The sequence below is a fragment of the Homo sapiens genome, chromosome 5 (genome assembly GCF_000001405.40).
Source record: "Homo sapiens chromosome 5, GRCh38.p14 Primary Assembly".
Classification (NCBI taxonomy): domain Eukaryota; kingdom Metazoa; phylum Chordata; class Mammalia; order Primates; family Hominidae; genus Homo; species Homo sapiens.
The window spans coordinates 160487769-160508361 of NC_000005.10; the positions used below are offsets into that span (position 1 = coordinate 160487769).

The following is a 20593-nucleotide window of genomic DNA, read 5'->3' on the forward strand; positions in this document are numbered from 1 at the left end:
TTGGAGCAGCAGCATCAGTATCACCTGTGACTTTTTTTTTTTTTTTTTTGAGTCACTCTGTCACCCAGGCTGGAGTGCAGTGGCATGATCTTGGCTCACTGCAACCTCCGCCTCCTGGGTTCAAGCAATTCTCTTGCCTCAGCCTCCCAAGTAGCTGGGATTACAGGCGCCTGCTACCATGCCTGGGTAATTTTTATATTTTTAGTAGAGACGGGATTTCACCATGTTGGCCAAGCTGGTCTTAAACTCCTGACTGCAGGTGATTCGCCCACCTTGGCCTCCCAAAGTGTTGGGATTACAGGCATGAGCCACCACGCTTGGCCTGGGAATGACTTTTGGATTAGCTAACCAACCTGTGAACTTTTTAGAAATGTAAATTTTCAGGCCCCACTCAAGACCTCCTGAATAGAAAACTCTAGGGGTAGGGCCCAGCAATTTCTGTTTTACCAACCCTTTGGCTGACTTTTATGCACACTAAAGTTTTAGTACTGATAGGGTCAATCAAGGGACATCTGCATTCCCCTGGAACTGAAATATAGCTGACATTGACATGAAAGATGCTGGCCCACTCCTACAAGTATGCATGCAAGTATTCCGCAAAACTTATTTCTGAGAGATGAACAGCAGGACCCCAAAACTTCAAGATGGTTACAAGTGATATTTCCACCGGTGAATAGTAGATTTCTAGGTTTTTAATGTGCAAACTTTAGGTGCATAAAACCGCTTGAAGAAGTTGTCAATTAAGGCAGGTCATGCCCCTGACCCACAGACTAGGCATTTCCAAAGTATCTGTCATTTTAACCATCACTCACTGAATGTCATCAAGGAGGTCCTAGGACGACACTTAGAGCAACTATTCCAGGCTTTTTCAAATGCTGTTTTCCCCCTCCGTACTATTATGTTTCTTCTTCCCAATTCATCCTTTCTCTTCCTGTTGTGATTGATGGGGTCTCAGAAGCAGATTAGCCATCCTTTCGGCTCTGTGCTTGGGAGAGAATAGCTCACATGCTGCTAGAGAGGTGCCTTGGGAGTAATAATAATGATAATGGAAGTATTGATTTGCCATCCTCTGATAACAAAGGAAGGTCATGATTTATCAGCTCACATTAATGGGATGAGGTGGAAAGTTGGACACACTACCTCACAGTCTGCCTTTCCCTTGTGCTAGGTTGCTGGGATTCACTGATTTAGGGACACAGTGGTTTCCTAAGTCCTGCCAGCAGTCAAACCTTTGTTAGTTAAAATGGAAATTTCTTTTTTTCATATTTTCTCACATCTAGACTCTTGCCCTCTTTTCTAATAATATTTCAGAGAGGCAGCTCCCAGTTTGGGTGTCCAGGTGGTCAGAGAGTCTGGAAAAATGCTCTGGGGGCAGGAAACCAGGGTACAAGCCATCTTGTCTAGTTCCTCTTTGCTCTTCTTAGCACTAAGGTGATTTCACAACAGTTTTTTAAGGATGTTCTGCTCCTATCTCCTGCGGAAGCCCTTCCAAGTAGAAGAGTTAATTTTGATTATTCCTGGGAAAGTGCAGAAAATATAATTACAACTTTATTGGATATTTACAAGATACACAAGGTATCTTGTAATAATGAAAGATTTCTCTATTTTCTATATCTGAAAACTGAGGCTCAGGGAGGTTACATAATTTGCTTAAATTTCACACACAACATGTTAAGTGTCACAGCTAGGATGTTAATCAGGACTGCACAGTAAGAACCTATGTTCCTTTCACTAAAGTTTGTACTGTGTTAGGATTTACAATTTGTAAAGCACTTTAACACACATTAGTATATTTGCTGAACACCACATTCTTCCGTGAAATAGCTCTTCTTTTTTTTTTTCTCTTTGAGACAGAGTCTTGCTCTGTCACCCAGGCTGCAGTGCAGTGGTGTGGTCTCAGCTCACTGCAACCTCCGCCTCCTGGGTTCAAGCAATTCTCCCTGCCTCAGCCTCCCGAGTAGCTGAGATTACAGGTGCCCACCACCACGCCTGGCTAATTTTTGTATTTTTTACTAGACAGGGTTTCGCTATGTTGGCCAGGCTGGTCTCGAACTCCTGACCTCAAGTGATCTGGCTGCCTTAGCCTCCCAAAGTCCTGGGATTACAGGCGTGAGCCACTGTGCCTGGCCATAGCTCTTTTCATAATCCTAATTTTAGAGATAGGAAAGTGGAATTTTCAAAAGATTTTGCAACGTATCTGTGCCCCGTGCCATATAGCTGGTAACTGGTGACGTGGAGCCTCAAAACCAAAATCCCTATAGCAAAAAGATCATTTTTACTTAAAAAATGTATACAAATATACATGAACTTAGAAGGAAGGAAAGAAAAAAAATCTTTTGCCTCTGTTTCTGCAGTGTGACTGAAAACAGAAGAGCATGCATTGAGGCCCACTCTGACTTATTCCTCCACCTGTGCCTTTGGTCAGCAGGAGTGAGCCCCCGTCCATGACCAATTCCACCCCAAGGACACAGTTATACTTTAAAATATGTGACAATTGAGAAGCCATATGTGCTTTTTCTTTGGGTCCTGCAATGCTCCTAAGACTGGTCAGATTCCACTGTCTCTGATCAGCACATGTTTATTTATTTATTTATTTATTTTATTTCTGAGACAGTCTCTCTCTGTCACCCAGGCTGGAGTGTAACGGTGCGATCTCGGCTCACTGCAACCTCTGCCTCCCGAATTCAAGCAATTCTCCTGCCTCAGCCTCCTGAGTAGCTAGAACTACAGGCATGCACCACCATGCCTGACTAGTTTTTGTATTTTTAGTGGAGATGGGGTTTTGCCTTGTTGGCCCGGCTGCTCTGGAACTCTTGACCTCAAGTGATTCACCTGCCTCAGCCTCCCAAAGTGCTGGGATTACAGTTGTGAGCCACCACACCTGGCCATATTTCCTTATTTTAAAACTTATTTTTCTTCTTATATATGTAATATGAATTTATGGCAAATAAGTTTGAAAATATGGGAAAGTATAAAAGAGAAAATTTGAAGTTATTAAAATTTTTAAATTATGAAATTATGATTTTTTTTACTGGAAATTTAGAGAATTCAGAAAATCATAGGAGAAAAAAGTTATCTATACACTTATAGATTACCATTTTGGGTTATTTCTTTTCATTTTCACTTTTTTTTCTTTTACACGATTGGGATTATCTTTAATTTGTGTATCTGTGTTCTGTGTTCTGTTGTTTAACATTTTATAGTATGCTTTTCTTCATGTCCTTGCATGGTCTTTTTATTTATTTTAAATGGGTGCATATGCAGTTCATGGGCTGGATGCGCCTTTGTTTACATGATCATTTCCTTATTATCAGACATTCTGAACCTGGGTCTCCTGACTCTAAATCTGCTGCTATTTTTTGTCCCCACATATCTGTCTCTATTTCCTTTAGCTTCTTGTTTGCATTTATTTGAGAATTAATTGTGATGATTTTAGGAGTGTAAAAAACAGTATAAATAAATGTGTCTTGTATTACTACATAACGGTGCTAGTGTTGAGGATTTACTATGTGCCAATCTCTATTTCAATACTTTGAACAGCTTCTCATTAAAGCCCCCGCCTCCCACAACAACAGTAGATAGTTATTATTCCCATTATATAGATGATATCACAGACATACACAGAGGGTAAGTATCATAGCACATTCATTTGTGTCTAGCAAAACTTCAGCTTACAGAGCCATATACAAATAGGCATTTATTTGTTCTTAGCCAGTCTGAATATGAGCAACTACTACTAGCATTTGGGTTAGAGTCTCAGTGACATCAAGGCTGTTGTCACTGCAGAAATTTTCTCCTGTGCCTCTTGGTTTTAAAGTGGCTGCAAAAGCCATAGATATCACATCCTGATTCAGGGGAGGAAGAGAGAGAAACAGATGGTGTGGACTGGTCACATCCGCTCCTTTTATCAAGAAAGCACATTTTCTTTCCAGAACCCCCTTCATCTCCCCAGCAGAATTCCACTCATGCATTATTGTGTTTTTCATGACCACTGCCAACTCCAGAAGAGACTGGGAAAATGAATGTTTTAACTTTTTCAGCCTCTGGAGTGGAAGAGAGGTTTGGGAATGACTTTTTTCTTTTTCTTTTTTTGACACAGAGTCTCACTCTGTCACCCAGGCTAGAGTGCAGTGGCATGATCTTAACTCACTGCAGCCTCCACCTCCTGGGTTCAAGTGACTCTCGTGCCTCAGCCTCCCAAGTAGCTGGGAATACAGGCATGTGTCACCATGGCTGGCTAATTTTTGTATTTTTAGTAGAGGCAGGATTTCACCATGCTGGTCAGGCTGGTCTTGACTCCTGATGTCAAGTGATCCACCTGCCTCTGCCTCCCAAAGTGCTGGGATTACAGGCTTGAGCCACTGCACCTGGCCTGGGAATCACTTTTGCTCTGGATTAAGTTATGTCCCCCAGAATTCATATGTTGAAGCCCTAACCCCCCAGTGTGACTGTATCTAGAGATAGGGTCTAGGAGGTCATTATGGTAAAATGAGGTCATAAGGGTGGGGCCCTAAGACCCATAGGACTATGGCCTTATAGGAAGAGGAAGATTCAATCTCTCTCTCTCTCTCTCTCCTACCCCATCGCCACCCCCACCCCCCATGGTGACACAGTGAGAAGGCACCAAACTTGACCATGTTGGCATCCTAATCTCAGACGTCTAGCTTCCAAACTGTGAGAAAACAAATTTGTTTTTTAAGCCACCCATTCTATGGTATTTTGTTATGGTAGTACAAGCTGACCAAGACAAATAGCCACCACAAGATATCAGCGCTGGTCAAGTGTTGGTCTTATTTTTCCTAGCAGCCAATTTCATACAGGGGCCAACCATTGGCTAAGAATTGGTGTATATCACATCTCTGGCTTGGATTATGGTTGGAAGTGGCCCAGTGCCTGTCAAACCTCATCTCTCACTGAATATAACACCATCTAATACATGCCAACATTTTCATCAATATTACTGTCACCACAAAGTGCCATTAAAATAGAAGTGGTTTCATACATTATTTATCTGCAGCGTGTCTACTGAGTCATTCTTTTGCTGGAGAGCTGTCTCCTTGGCATTTATAAACTTGGTAACAAATCTGCAGCTCACTGGATTCCTATCTTCAGGCTGTGACAGGGAAGAGGAGGCTCCATGAACTGTTTGGGCTGAAAGTAGTTGCTGTATCTCTTCCACCAGCCCAGAACACATTTATTAAGTGCCTGGTTGCACGTGATCTGAACGAGGGGCTACACAGTGGACATTCTGAAAATGATTGGCTGTAACCCACTTTCTTTTGGTTAGAGGGGGTTCTAAAAGGATCCATTATTTATTAGTGATTTTCAGTTGTGATTATTTTTAAATCAGAAATTCAAAATGGCAATTCTAATCAGTGGGAATACATTAATGAATAAAATAGTCATTACTGTCTTCATGGAATTGACGTTCTAGTAAAGAGGATATTTCATATATAAAACTAGATTTCTGGCTGTTTGAAGTACCAAAAGAACTGACAACTCTGGGCTGCCTTTTTTTCGTGACAACTATCACCTGGATCCAGGGAGCCACTTTATTTATTTATTTATTTATGTATTTATTTATTTATTGAGAAGGATTCTTGCTCTGTTGCCCAGGCTGGAGTGCAGTGGCATGATCTCGGCTCACTGCAACCTCCGCTTCCCTGGTTCAAGTGATTCTCCTGCCTTAGCCTCCCGAGTAGCTGGGATCATAGGCGTGCACCATCATGCCCAGCTAATTTTTGTATTTTTAGTAGAGATGGTTGGTAGACCACCACCAACCCATGTTGGCCAGGGTGGTCTTAAACTCCTGACCTCAGGTGATCAGCCTGTCTTGGCCTCCCAAAGTGCTGGGATTACAGGTGTGAGCCACCACACTCGGCTGGTGGAGCTACTTTTAGATGGGGTATGAGAACTGTCATTTGTCACACTCCTCATCACTCCTATTGTCTCATTTGATCCACATGGAATCTCAATGGAGTACATAACACTATTATTATCATTATTACTGCCACTTGCAGAGAAAGAAACTGAGGGTCAAAGAGGTGAAGTGACTGGCCAAGGTTTTCTAACTGTAGAAGATGGAGTGTGATATGAACCCACTCCTATGCAACTTCAGAGGCTGAAGTCTTTGCCACTATGCAGAGTGGTAATTCAGGAGGCAGGAACACAAAAATATCACTAAGCAAAAACATTCAACCCATATAAGATCAAATTAGAGCAGTGTATCAGCAGGAAACAGATGGCATCCTCAAATTAGGATAACTCAAGCAGAGTTTCATAAAGAAACTATTTACAAAGGCGTGGGCAGAGTGTAGGGAAACTGCAAGGCATAGTGCAGAACCCTAGATTAGTAATAGTAGGGCTCCATTACCACTCCTAAGCCTTTAGGGGCAGATGAGGGGGTGGGTTACTGAAACTGGGGAGACAGAACTGTGGGGAGGACTGCCTTATTTGAGCTAACATCTTTTGCAATGAAATGCAGCCAACACTTGGGGACTCCACAGGGAGGGAACTTGGAGAATAAATACCCCAAGCTCGTGCTCCAAGTTGTCTCTACTCCTTCCCTTTCTTTTCCTGCCAGTGCCAAACCCAATTGGAAGTCAGAGGGCAATGAACCTTTGATGCCTTCCTACAGGTCAGCCTCTGGGAGCACAAAGTAGGGCAGAGAAGAGTGGAGAATGGCCCAGGAGACAAACTGAACACCCAGCACAGGGCGCAAGTCAAAGTCAAGAAGACCATGCTAGGGGACGAGGGAGAGTGGGGAATCAGAATATACCACCTCAAAATATGTTCTGTAGCAGAAGGATTATTTTGAGCTGAAGGCATTTGAGATTCAACAGATGCAGAAAGAAGGTTTCCCTAAGCATCCCTTATCTGACTAAAAGCAGAAACTTCTGAGAAATGAAGACTGCCGTAAATCCCTTTTCCTGGGGAAGTTTTATGGCCTTGAAGGAGATGGAAGGCTGCACCGAAATGGACCTGCATAAACAAACTTTGCAAAGATAGCTCTTATCTTCCTTGAGTTTCCCCCTATATTTACCTTCTACAGTTTTGGGAAGCCTAAACCCCAAACCCCCTTTCCCGTGTCTTGTCACATCTCTACAAATGTATCAACCTTTGTTGAAATGACTTAGAAGCCTCCAAGCCTTGCCACTTTTTTGGGCGTGTTTTCTCTAATTTATGAACCACCTCCACGGGCCACATAAACTTATAAAATCACACAAAGTTTGTATGCTCTTCCTCCTCCTGTTAATCTGTCTTTTGACAGTTTACTTTGCAGGTGCGGACACTCAGCCTCCAAAGGTAGAGGAAACATCCCCCCTTTTACAGCAGTGATGATGAGTAGGGGAAGAAATAAAGATAAGGATGAGTCCAGCTTTGATGGGGCTGGGAAAGCAACTCCTTTTCCTTCTCACTCTTTCTTACTCTCATTCCTGTGAGGCCACCTTGTCTACTAGAAAAATGATTGATTCCGCATCAGAGATTCCTCAAGTTTGCAACAAAGGACTTGATACCTCTGTTTCGATGACTTTTCAGTTGGACAGATGGCTGAACTACTGAACTATGCAGGCTGGTGTCTTCCAGTTTTTTCGAGGAATGGTAGAGGGCATTAAATTCTACGTTCAGAAAGCGACATTGTAAAACCTCCAAGACAGGTCTGCCTGTTTTTCAAGTTCTCTAAAATCGATTCAGCTCAATCCTTGTCAAATACCATATATCCTGCTAAACGGAGCTATGTATTACCCACCACCAAAAACCATTTGCTTGCTTACTTTCAGAATTTGCCATTTCTGAAATCAACTGGACCATGGCTTTAGATCTTTAGGGAAGTAGGTTTTCATCAGTGAATTTCAATCATCTTTACAGTGACATTTCCCACAGCCCACCCCAGAGACAGTGATATGAATACCACTGTCAGCATAAGTAACAGTAACAAATTCAGGAGCACTTTAGTTAACACTTTAACAATTCAAATAGTCTAGAAACCTAGTCTACCTGGTTCAGAAACAGTGTGCTTCTGAGAATACATGGGGTGAGAGGACAGAGGCACATAGCATTGTTGAATGAGAACATTCACAAGAGCCTGGTATCATAGTTAATTTAGAAATTAGTTGTGACACCATTATTTATGTCTCCATGAGCATTTCCCATTCTTTTGCTTTTCTTTCTTTTTTTTTTTTTTTTTTCTGGAATGGAGTCTTGCTCTGTCTCCCAAGCTGGAGTGCAGTGGCCTGATTTCGGCTCACTGCAACCTCCGCCTCCTGGGTTCAAGTGATTCTCGTGCCTCAGCCTCCCAAGTAGCTGGGACTACAGGTGTGCACCACCATGCCCGGCTAATTTTTTGTATTTTTCATAGAGACAGGGTTTCACCCTGTTGGCCAGGCTGGTCTCATACTCCTGACCTCTAGTTATCCATCCGCCTTGGCCTCCCAAAATGCTGGGATTACAGGTGTGAGCCACTGCACCTGGCCCCAGTTCTTTTTCTTAGATAATGGAACCCCAATATTGTTCAGAGAGTAGGCAAGCCATGTGCCTCAAAGGAAGCTGAGCTTCGCAGCCCCAGAGATCAAATTGTTTGTCCCATCCAGGTTTGGTGCCCTCAGTCTCCACCAATGCTTGCATTCGCAGGACATGTGATGCAGTTCTGACCAGTAGGCTATGAGGAGTCTTCTGGGACTGTGTCTAGCACAGTGGTTCCCCCTTACCCACGGGAGGGACATTCCAAGACTCCCACTGGATGTGTGAAACCGAGAATAGTACTGAAACTGACTGCCATCAGTCAGAACACGTTTCTGTTAACATCTTCCTTCCACACATGTAACGCCTTTTCCATCTTAACTAAGCACTTATCACACACTGTGTCTGTAACTTTTGCAGTCTGAGGTGTGACAGTAAAACTAGCATGAATTTCTTTTTCCTTCCTCACAATTTCACGGATAGAAGATTCATTCATACTGTAGATATTAGCAGCATCAGCAAACGATTTCATTGCTTATTGAGAACTTTCACCTTTTCACATAAAAGAAGCACTTTAGGCTTCCCTGGCATATTTAAATTGCCATCACTACTCCTTTTGCGCTTTGGGGCCATTATTAAGTAAAATAAGGGTTACTTGAACCCAAGCACTGGGATACTGATACTGTGACAGTAGATCTGATAACAAGATCTGACTAAGTGATTAGCGGGTGGGTAGCATAGACAGCGTGGAGATGCTGGATAAAGGGATGATTCGCATCCTGGGTGGGATGATGTGGGATAGTGCAAGGTTTCATCATGCTACTCAGAACAATGCGTGATTGAAAACTTATAAACTGCTTATGTCTGGAATTTTTCATTTAGTATTTTTGGGCCCTGGGTGACCATGGGTAACTGAAACTGAGGAAAGCAAAACTGTGGATGAGGGGAGATCATTGTATAGATCTTTCTTGCTGCTAGAAAGAGTCGCATTGGAAGAAATAGTTGCCTCTTTTTCTGCTGGACATTATCGTAGCAGCTTGTGGTATTTTGAACTGTGGCAACTAGGAAATGATGGACAGGGAACCAGATCTCCTGTTGAAAATGGGAGAGTGCAAAGATGCCGTATGACACCCATGAACCACTGAGTTCACCAACCCAAGTTCTATCCTCCCTCAGGTTTTCTAATGTGAGACAATAGGTTTCTTATTTGCTGGAGCCAGTAGACACAGGGGCCTGGATCCTGATGTGTCATACAGAGTCATGAAATTCAGGAGTCAGAGGGGAAGGAGAAGGGTAACTAATAATTTTAACAGATTATTTTTCTATTTTTTGATTAAAAATATACAAATGTAAAAATTCAATCAAGATGGAAGTGTTAAGAATGGGAACTGAAGTCTATAATTCTCCACCTCCTACCTACATATGAATGTAATGTTAAAAAAATAGGATCAGAGTAGACATAGCTAACAGTAAAGCTCAGTTCTTTGTACAAATACATGTCAGTCTACCCCATTCTTTTAAATAATATCTATAATATTCCAAAGTATAGATATACCATAATTTTTTCAATCTAATACAGGTGGTACTTTTAAAAATGTTCATCCAGATCGGTGCGGTGGCTAATGCCTGTAATCTCAGCATTTGGTGGGGCTGAGGCTGGAGGATCACTTGAGGTCAGGAGTTCAAGACCAGCCTGGGCAGCAGAGCGAAACCCTATATCTACAAAAAATTAAAAAAAAAAAATTAACTGGGCATGGTAGGGCAAGCCTATAGTCCCAGCTACTTGGGAAACATGAGCCCTGGAGGTGGGGTCTGTAGTAAGCTGTGGTCACGCTACTGCACTCCAGCCTGGGCAACAGAATGAGACTCTGTCTCAAAACAAACAAACAAACACTGTGATCCTTGGGTAAATATGTTCATGAGCCCTCAATCTCTGCCCTCAGTTATTTTCAGCAAGTCTCAGTGTCATTCAGAGAACATGCTCAGGGAGCAGCTATGTTGCACAGTGGATGGGACATGGGATTTGGGGTCAGGCAGATTGGGGCTGGGATTCATACTCCCACATACTAGCTGTGTTATCTTGGAAAGTGATTAAACCCCTTATGTCTCAGTTGTCTCATCCCTAAAAAAAGATAATAAAACCTACCTCTTAATATTGTTGTAAGAGTTAGAAATAACATATTAAAGTATCCTTTACCCAGAAAAGTTATTCAATGAACAACAGCTATTGTTTTAGGAAAGGAGCTGCCTTTGTGAAATAGTTTAACTATCGACTAGTTAAACTAGCGAAATAGTTTAACTATCGACTAGTTAAGCTAGCGAAATAGTTTAACTATCGACTAGTTAAGCTAGCGAAATAGTTTAACTATCGACTAGTTAAGCTAGCGAAATAGTTTAACTATCGACTAGTTAAGCTAGCGAAATAGTTTAACTATCGACTAGTTAAGCTAGCGAAATAGTTTAACTATCGACTAGTTAAGCTAGCGAAATAGTTTAACTATCGACTAGTTAAGCTAGCGAAATAGTTTAACTATCGACTAGTTAAGCTAGCGAAATAGTTTAACTATCTTTGGTTCTTCTCACCGTGAACACAGTGGACAAATATGCATGTGTACTTGTTAGTCTAAGATGATTACTTTTTTTCTTCTTTTTTTTAAAGACAGTTTGACTATATTGCCCAGGCACCCAGGCTGGTCTCGAATGCCCAGGCTCAAGTGATCCTCCAGTTCCAGCTTCCGGAATAGCTGGGATTACAGGCACAAACCAGTGTGCTCAGCAAACATAATTTCTTGAAATTACTCAGCAATTGTTCCCTAAATGGTGCAAGGTAGTATATGGAAACTAATCATCTAAATTCATCTTTGTGAATCCTGTAAAGAAGATAAACATTTAATCCCCATTTCATGGACTGCAGAGTTTGAGCAATTTATCAAATAGGCCAGAAATAGACATTATTCATGGTAAGAAGATCTCAATAGGCTGGAATGATGGGTCAAATTAAACAAGGTGAACTATTTTAAGGAAAAATGTAAAATTTATCTGTTTAGTTATGTTTCTTTTTTTGCATGACGCAGAATGGGAGAAATGTCACTTAATAGCAGGTATAAAAAAGGCTTAAGAGTTTTAGGTGGCTGAAGTTCAGTGTGAAGCCATAGTGTGATCCAGCTGTCTAAAGAAGCAAATATAATCTTTGTCCTCATAAAGACAAGTAAGAAACTCAAAACGAGGAAGATAATGACTCCACTTAGTTTGCTTTTGTTAGACCACATGCTCTAACAGTGGGGATGGCAAGTAACTGGCATGTGGGCTGAGGATTGTTGCTCGAATGCCCATGACAGATACCACTAATTAACCATATTCCACTGGGTTTAGATGTAGCCTCTGAACCTCTATCAACACAGTCTTTAAGGCAGCCAATAGTTTTTGAATGAAGTTGGCATGCAAGATGAAACCTACAGGTAACCAATGGACTGTAGGCTATTCTTACCATCTCCTTCCAAGGGGGCAGCTAGTGCTTATATCATGTATTCCAACCTTTTACCAGCCACAAAAGATTGAATAGGACCCAAGGGTTGTCAGTCTACAGGCTACTTTGAAGAGCTTTATTTAAACTGAAACAAGCTTACCTCACTCTGATTCCCTCTTTGGGGAGTTTGAACTTGGGAAAAGAAGGCAAATCAGAAGGTTGGTGGCAGGCCTCGAAGCTGAACTCTTAATGGAGACCATGCTGTCGTAGAGGCCAAAAGGGAGCAGAAGGAAATCAGAAAACAGAAACAAGAATGAGGAAGCAGAAGCTATGAGGTAGAGAAAATCTACAAATGGAGAGGGGATATGGAATTGGTTGGTGGCAGCAGAAATAGCAGATGAGGCGGAGAGAGCTGAGGATGAACAGAGCCCCGCTGCTAAGGGACTAACAAGAGCTCTTGTCCTCTGGGTAGAGATCCAGGTGTACTGCTATCTCTACTCCTCCCTAGAGGCCTCATTTGCCTGGGGTCCAATCAATCTGGCCATGAATTTGAGATTCTTTTTTTTCTTACATCCACTATAACCACCTCCTATCGCTTGAGGTAGCCTGAGGAAAATCTTTGTTCCTTGTCGTCAAACATGTCTACTCAAGGTTCCTTGTCTAGTTTTGGGTGTCATATTGGTGAACTGGAGCAGGTCCCCAGGAGAGAGATTAGAAGGGTAAAGAGGCCAGGGAGCTCTCACACAGAAAGAGTTTTCAAAGGGATGAGGAGTACTTACCAAGAACAGTGACCCTTAGAGTGTAATCACCAAGCAGCAGCAGTGGCATCTTAGAGATGTAAATTTCTGGGCCCACCCCGGACCTACAGAAATTGTGGGGGTAAGGCCCTGGACTACGTGGTTTAACAAGACCTCCATGTCTGATGCATGCTTAAGTTTGAGAGCCACTGGTCTAGAGAAGAGAAGACCCAGGCAGATTATGAGGATGATCTCCAGTTAACTGAAGGAGTCAGGAGGATGAGGTGTGATATGATATCCTAGAGGGCAGCACCAGAACTTTGGCTGGAAAAAATGGGAGACAGATTTTAGAACAATAGAAAGAAGACTTCACAAACAGTTAAGGCTGGTTTGAGAAAGATTTGTGCCTGGTGGGTAGTGAGCTGCTTGTTTCTGGGGGAGTTTAAGAAAGGATTGCATGACCAACAGTTGGTAGATATTGCAGAGGTCTGTGAAGTACACAGGAGAAGAGGACACTGAAAGAGGAAGCGTGCATTAGGAAGGCTCTGCAAATCAGGAACAGCAATTGAGGACTGGCATCCAAGAGCTCTCTCATTGCTATGGTAACAGTGGGGGTGGGGGTGGTAACAAGCTAATTGTGTTTATAAACCTCAGCTGGGGCTTGTTTCTGAGCACTTTCTTGAGTTAAAGGTGATTCCAGGATCCTGGTCTCTGCCATGCAACAAATCCTAACTCCTGGGACCAGGATCCTATTTTGAAATTGCTTATATTCCTATCTCTAGATTCTAGCTCCTCATTAGACTCTCTTGAGTAGGGTAGAAATTCCAATATGGGGAAACAGGTGGAGGAAATCTGATGATCAACCCAAACATCTCAGGACAGGAAGCTGCATCTAGAGTAATGAATACTAATTTCAAACCTATATATTGCATTCGGTGGGTAAAAGTGTGAGCGGTAGAAACAGAAGGCTGGATATCATCAACTGAAGAATGAGGAGGTTCATAAATTTGGAAAGGAGAGCTTTATTTCTCATAAAGGATTGCAGCCTGCAGGGTTGCCATTCTGACAGGGTGGGAAGCATAGCCTCTGGTCAGAAGCCCAAAACAGATACTCTGAGGGTGGGGCAAATGGAATAGAAATTTATGCTGAGCAGAGTGGTCGAATATACATATTCAATAAGCTATCAGAGGAATCATGAATATTTATGAAGGAGAAATATGCACACGTGCAATTGAGCTTCATCCCCCTGCTTGTGTCCCATGTACAAAAAATGACGGTGTTAGCATGATCTAAGGGTGGAGTTTTTGGCCCTTTGACATCAAAAGGTGAAGTAGACAGGAACACCCTTACTGTGCATTCTTTGTAGATTGGCCAGAACCACCCTGTGGTCGGTGGTCTCTTATCGGGCAAAAAAGGAGAGGCAGCATTAGGCGGTAGACTGATACCAGTGGTGGAGTCTTTTGAAAGGGCTGTTTTCTTTTTAAAATATTTTTAAATTTATTTTTTTATTTTCAATAGGTTTTTGGGGAACAGGTGGTGTTTGGTTACGTGAATGAGTTCTTTAGTGGTGATTTGTCAGATTTTGGTGCACCCATCACCAAGCAGTGTACCCTGTACCCAATGTGTAGTCTTTTATCCCTCGCCACCCCACCCTTTCCCCGAGTCCCCAAAGTCCAATGTATCATTCTTATGCCTTTTGTTGTTCTCATAGCTTAGCTCCCATATATGAGTGGGAACGACAATGTTTGGTTTTCCATTCCTGAGTTACTTCACTTCATCCAGGTTGCTGCAAGTGCCATTATTTCATTCCCTTTTATGGCTGAGTTGTATTCCATGGTGTGTGTGTGTGTGGCTGTTTGAGTGTGTGTGTATATATATATATACACACACACACCATATTTTCTTTGTCCATTTCTTGTTTGTTGATGGGCATTTGGGCTGGTTCCATATTTTTGCAATTGCAAATTGTGCTGCTATAAACATGTGTGTGCGAGTATCTTTTTCATATAATGACTTCTTTTCCTCTGGGTAGATACCCAGTAGTGAGATTGCTGGATCAGAAGGTAGATCTACTTTTGGTTCTTTAAGGAATCTCCACACTATTTTCCATAGTGGTTGTACATAGTTTACATTCCCACCAACAGTGTAAAAATGTTCCCTTTTCACCGCATCCACACTAACATCTATTATTTTTCTGATTTTTTGATTATGGCCATTCTTGCAAGAGTGAGGTGGTATCTCACTGTGGTTTTGATTTACATTGCCCTGATCATTAGTGATGTTGAGCATTTTTCCATATGCTTCTTGGCCATTTGTATATCTTTTTTTGAGAATTGTCTATTCATGTCCTTAGCCCACTTTTTAATGGGATTGTTTGTTTTTTTCTTGTTAATTTGTTTGAGTTTGTATCAGTCTGTTTTCACGCTGCTGATAAAGACATACCTGAGACTGGGAGGAAAGAGGTTTAATTGATCTTAAAGTTCCACATGGCTGGGGAGGCATCAGAATCATGGCAGGAGGTGAAAGGCACTTCTTACATGGTGGCAGCAAGAGAAAAATGAGGAAGAAGCAAAAGTGGAAACCCCTGATAAACCCATCAGATCTCATGAGACTTATTCACTATCATGAGAATAGCATGGGAAAGACTGGCTCCCATGATTCAATTACCTTTCCCTGGGTCGCTCCCACAACGCGGGGGAATTCTGGGAGATACAATTCAAGTTGAGATTTGGGTGGGTATACAGCCAAACCATATCAGAGTTCTTTGTAGATTCTGGCTATTAGTCCTTTGTAAGATGTATAGATTGCGAAGATTTTCTCGCACTCTGTGGGTTGTCTGTTAGCTCTGCTGATTATTTCTTTTGCTTTGCAGAAGCTCTTTAGATTAATTAAGTCCTATCTATTTATTTTTGTTTTTGTTGCATTTGCTTTTGGGTCCTTGGTCATGAAGTCTGAAAGGGCTACTTTCTGTTAAGCCCTTAGGGAAGAAAGGCTAATGATGGTTAATGAGGGAGGGGGTATAATGATGTGTATCTGAGTCTCCTATCCTGTCATGGCTGAGAACTCAGTCTTCAAGTTTACTCTGGGATCCCCTTGGCCAAGAGATGGTCCATTCAGTCAGTTGGTGGGGAAGGGGGGGGCTTTGAATTTTACTTTTAGTTTATGATATATAGTTGCATGACCTTGAGCAAGTTGCTTTTCTCTGCCTTATTTTCCTTGTCTCTTAAGATGAGACTCACATTAGTTGCTACCTTAGTGGATTGTTTTCGGATTGAGACAATAGCACTGTGCCCAGTACATGTTAAGCACTCAATATATTTAAACTATTATCATTGCTATTGTTGTTTTATCTCAATGAACTTCTAAAGTGCCTCTAAGGAGGGTAGAATAGATATTATTAACCCCATTTTACAGCCTCAGAAACTGAAGCAAAGGATATTTAAGACTCATTATGACATCATACTGCTTCACTATTGCTGGCAGGATAAAACTAGGACTTAGTTTTCCTAACTTCACGTGGACCGGACAAGGGACAGGTTCTGTACGTGTGTTCTAGAAAGGGGGACAGAATTTATTTTTTGAAAAGGCAATATAAGCACATAAGTAAAATTCTGCAAGAAGGTGTGCAGTGAAAAATAAACCTCCTTCCTATCCCCCTCATCTCCAGTTCTTTGGTCCCTTCCTGTTGACAGATCCTGTGCATCTTTCAGGAGCTGTTTCATGCATACACAAGCCTAGTGTGGGTGTGTGTGTGTGTGTGTGTGTGTGTGTGTATCCCAGGGGACTGTTTCTACAAAAGGCCCCTTCCTGCTCCTGTCCCTGATCCAGGTGTGTGTGTGTGGTGTATATGTGTTTGGGGTGTGAGGGGTGTGTCTGTGCGCATGTGTGTGTATGGTGTATGTGTGTGGGGTGTAAGGTGTGTGTGTGTGGTGTATGTGTGTGGGGTGTAAGGGTTGTGTGTGTGTGGGTGTGTGTGTGGAGCCTGTGTGTGTATGTGTGTGTGGGGTGTGAGGGTGTGTGTGTGGGGTGTGAGGGTGTGTGTGTGGGGTGTGAGGTGTGTGTATGTGCACATGTGTGTGTATGGTGTACGTGTGTGTAGGGTGTAAGGTATGTGTGTGGTGTATGTGTATGTGGGGTGTAAGGGGTGTGTGGGGTGTGTGTGTATGTGTGTGGAGTCTGTGTGTGTGTGTGGGGTGTGAGAGGTGTGCGTGTGCGGTGTGCGTATGTGTGTGTGAGGTGTGAGGGGTGTATGTGTGTGTGAGGGGTGTGTGTATGTGTGTGGTATGTGGGGTGTGTGTGTGAGACATGTGTATTTGTGTGTGTGGTGTGTGTGGGGTGTGAGGGGTGGGTGTGGTGTATGTCTGTGTGTGGGGTGTGAAGGGTGTGTGTGTTAGGTGTATGTGTGTGTGGTGTATGTATGTGTGGGGTGTGATGGGTGTGTGTGTGGTGTATGTGTGTGAGGGGTGTGTGTATGTGTGTGGTGTCAGTGTGTGTGTGGTGTCTGTATGTGTGGGGTGTGAGGGGTGTACGTGGGGTGTGTGTGGTGTATTTGTGTATGAGGTGTGAGGGGTGTGTGTGTGTGGTGTGCGTGAGGGGTGTATGTGTATGTGTGCATGTGGTGTGTGTGTGGTTTATGTGTGTGTGGGGTGTGTGTGGGGTGTGAGGGGTGTGTGTGCATGCATGTGTGTGTATGGTGTACTTGTGTGGGATGTGTGTGTGTGGGGTGTGTGTGTGGGGTATGTATGGGTGTGTGGGGTATATGTGTGTGTATGTGTGTGTGGGGTATGTATGGCAGGCCCAGTCCAGTGCTGTTTCCCTGCTTTCTTAGACCCTTTTCTCAGAACCTTGGAGTTCCTGACTGTGTGAGAAGGCATAGGCACGTGGCCTGGTGGTGTGAACACTGGGCCACTGTCCCTTTTCTTCCCCTGGCTTTTATCTCCTTCTTAAGATGCTGTCATTTTCCCAGCGGTCCTGACCTTCCTGGGGAATACTGATGGGGAATCCCAGGTCCCAAACTGCCGACTGTCAGGCCTGGAGCACAGGACAGGTCCCAGGGGTGCAGGTCACAGGCCCAGGGACCCTGTCTCTTTGGCTCTTCCCTTCTCTCCTGGGGCCTCTGCTCACCTGGCTTCTGGGGAAGTGTCAGACGTGTTCAGCTTCAGTAATCCTGCCACTTTCCCAGCCATGAGGAAAAATCTATGTGTTTATTATTATTATTGTTACTACTACTATTTAACATCTAGAAGCTTTTCCCTGACAAACAAAGAGTGGCCTTGGCTGCCTGCTACCTTGGCCAGGAGATAAGGGACAGGGCAGGCTGAGAACACAAGTCCTTTTTGGGGTCTGCTTGGCGTGTGGTGAAGCCAGGGGAAGAGAAGGGACAGTGGCCCAGTGTTAACACCACCAGGCCACCTGCCTGTGCCTTCTCACACAGAGTCAGGAACTCCAAAGTTCTGAGAAAAGGATCTAAGAAAGCAGGGAAACAGCGCTGGCCTGGGCCTGCCATACATACCCCCCCCACACATACACACACACATACCAGCAGTGAAGGCAGTGGAGAAGAGACCACCTCCTGTCAGAGCCAGTCCTCACAAGCGTGTACGCATCACAGTGGAGTTCTGGGCTCCCCGGCTGCTGGTTCCTCCAGCTTCCGCCTCTGGTTTCCCTCTTCCCTGGCCTGGGAACGTAGAAGGGTGCAGGGTGAAAGACTTGGTCTTCTACCGCATGGATTCTCTGAGCTGCCCCAGCAGGACCGTGACTCTCTGAAGCCTGAAACGATTTGAACAGCCCCCTGTCGGGCAGCTCCTCACTGGCTGATGTGGGCTTGAACATGTCAGTCATGGAGAACTCACCACTTCCTGAATCTCTCCATTGCAGTCTTGGATGGTTCTAGAGAGAGGAGCAGAACTGGAATATGTGGCTACAGCTATGTGAATTGACAGCTTCTGGGCTTTGAACCGCAAATTCCTCTTTCACTTAAAAATCCTTTGGGCTCTTGCCCTTTGTGTCTCTAACTCTTGGGACGTTTTTCTTAGGGACAGGCTTCCAGTGTCCCATCTAACACTTGGGTGAGCTGGGCCCGTTGTTCGTGGGAAGGGGTGTAAGTGTAGGGGAAATCCATTTGTCACAAGAGAGAATCAGGTAGGGGAGGGACAAGGTGACTTCTGAGGTTCTGTTCTTATGCATCTGGACTCCCACCTTCCCTCATTCTATGAAGAAGCTGGAGAGTCCGTCATTCTTGGACCTTTCCCTCAGTGCAAGGAAAACAAGTTGGAGAAGTGACAGTGTCCTGGGATGAGCCCAGCAGCTTTCTTTCCTTTCTCACTCAGCCTCTGTCTCTCTCCCCACAACCGTTTCCTGCCTGGGGCGGTACAGCCAGCAGCCAGTGCGCCTGAGCCCTGTTATTTAAAATTCAGCCGTCACCATGGCAACCTGCATCTTGCTCCATTTCAACCAGAGATACAAAGAAGCAGTGAAAGGGAAAGTTTAATAATGTTTTCTTTTTTTTCTTTTTTTATGAATCTCACTGACTGTCCATCTTTTTGTGAAATAGAAATGTTTCATTTTAGTGGCATTATCAAAATGTCATTCGTTTTCAGACCCCGTGGCTTCTGGAGGGTCAAAGTCATCACTTGCTTTCTAGGGCTGCCGCTGTCACCCCGTTTCCCCCTTCAGAATGGATGATGAGTGTTATTCCGCATTTAGGCTTTTTGAAAGATTTGAGGTTGGACTAAGTTTAGAGAGTGTTTATGGCTTTATTCTCCCTTCCCTTTCCCTGGTATCAAATCTCAGAGTCACGGCAAGGTAAAAAAAGCTAGAAGAGTCTTTAAAGATCACTGACTCTGGGGTGCCATTTTTGTTTCAGTGTGTGTAGTACCTCCTCCCCAGCATTCTGAGAGTGCTTCCTCATTACTGTCATGGAGCTTGGCCTCTGGGTGGTGTTTCTGTGATTCATGTGGAGCCAAGAATTTCCCGTAACCACTGTGACTGGCTCATGAATGAGTATACGGCCCAAAAGGTATGGCTGAGCTGCAGTTCTGGGTCTGAGAGAGAGCCTCTTTATTTTTCTGCTGAGGGGATGAAAGCCTGGAGCTGCCAGAGACCCTCACAGAGAAGGAACTTGCCTACAAGTGGAGTGAACACAAAGGGAAGCAGAACTGATGGATGGAGAAGAGAAACCAGGCTTGGATGACGTTGCTTGATATCTTAGATCGAGGCAACCCTGAATCCATGGCTTTGCAGTTTCATGAGCAATATATTCCATTTTTTTACTTTAAGCCAGCTTCAGCTGGGGTTTCTGACAGCAGAACGCCACGACTTTGATGTTACATACCTCAAGCTCCTTCTTTTACAAATGAAAGCATGGAGACCCAGTGCAGGGAGGTAGCATCCAAGGTCACACAGAGAGGCAGCTCTGAAGGTCAGGTCTCCTGGTGTCTTCAAAGCCTTTCTGTCTGCTGTCCTTCGGTCCTCTGTTTTCAGGCAGATTCTGTTACCTTTGCAGGAACAAAAGCTGAGCCTATGGATGCTCATGATCAAAAAGTATAATTACGGTGAAGACCCTTGCTCAGCTACTCATCCCAGGGTGAGGGTGAGCATTTGGGGTGATGTCCAAGGAAAGTGTCCACCCTCGGCTTGTACAAGGAAAGTGCTCACAGTTGGCTCTGCATAGCCCTGTGGACAGACCCTAGGTACACTTTGCCTGTTTTCTTCATTGAGACAAGATCTGTTTGTTCAGTCTGCAAACAAATGTCACACATTCAACCAACACTTACAATTTTATTAATTTAATTGAACAGCATTAATTGAGGGCCTCCTATGTGCTAATCACTGTTTTGGGGGCACAGATTCAATGGTCAATAAAGGGAGGCTCAGTGCCTAAGCTCATGGAGCTTATATAATTTACTGTGGACATGAAAATAACCAGAGA

At 43.6% G+C, this 20593-nt stretch overlaps 3 annotated features.

Annotated features, from left to right (window-relative positions):
• Window positions 17090-17927: an enhancer, noted in NCBI's record as "H3K27ac-H3K4me1 hESC enhancer chr5:159931865-159932702 (GRCh37/hg19 assembly coordinates)". NCBI's record gives its function as "activates a minimal SCP1, AML or CMV promoter by ChIP-STARR-seq in naive H9 embryonic stem cells {active_cell/tissue: H9 hESC(naive)}" and the evidence as "EXISTENCE:reporter gene assay evidence [ECO:0000049][PMID:30033119]".
• Window positions 18409-18468: an enhancer, noted in NCBI's record as "active region_23570". NCBI's record gives its function as "activates an Ori minimal core promoter by ATAC-STARR-seq in GM12878 lymphoblastoid cells {active_cell/tissue: GM12878}" and the evidence as "EXISTENCE:reporter gene assay evidence [ECO:0000049][PMID:35858748]".
• Window positions 19041-19090: a silencer, noted in NCBI's record as "silent region_16587". NCBI's record gives its function as "represses an Ori minimal core promoter by ATAC-STARR-seq in GM12878 lymphoblastoid cells {active_cell/tissue: GM12878}" and the evidence as "EXISTENCE:reporter gene assay evidence [ECO:0000049][PMID:35858748]".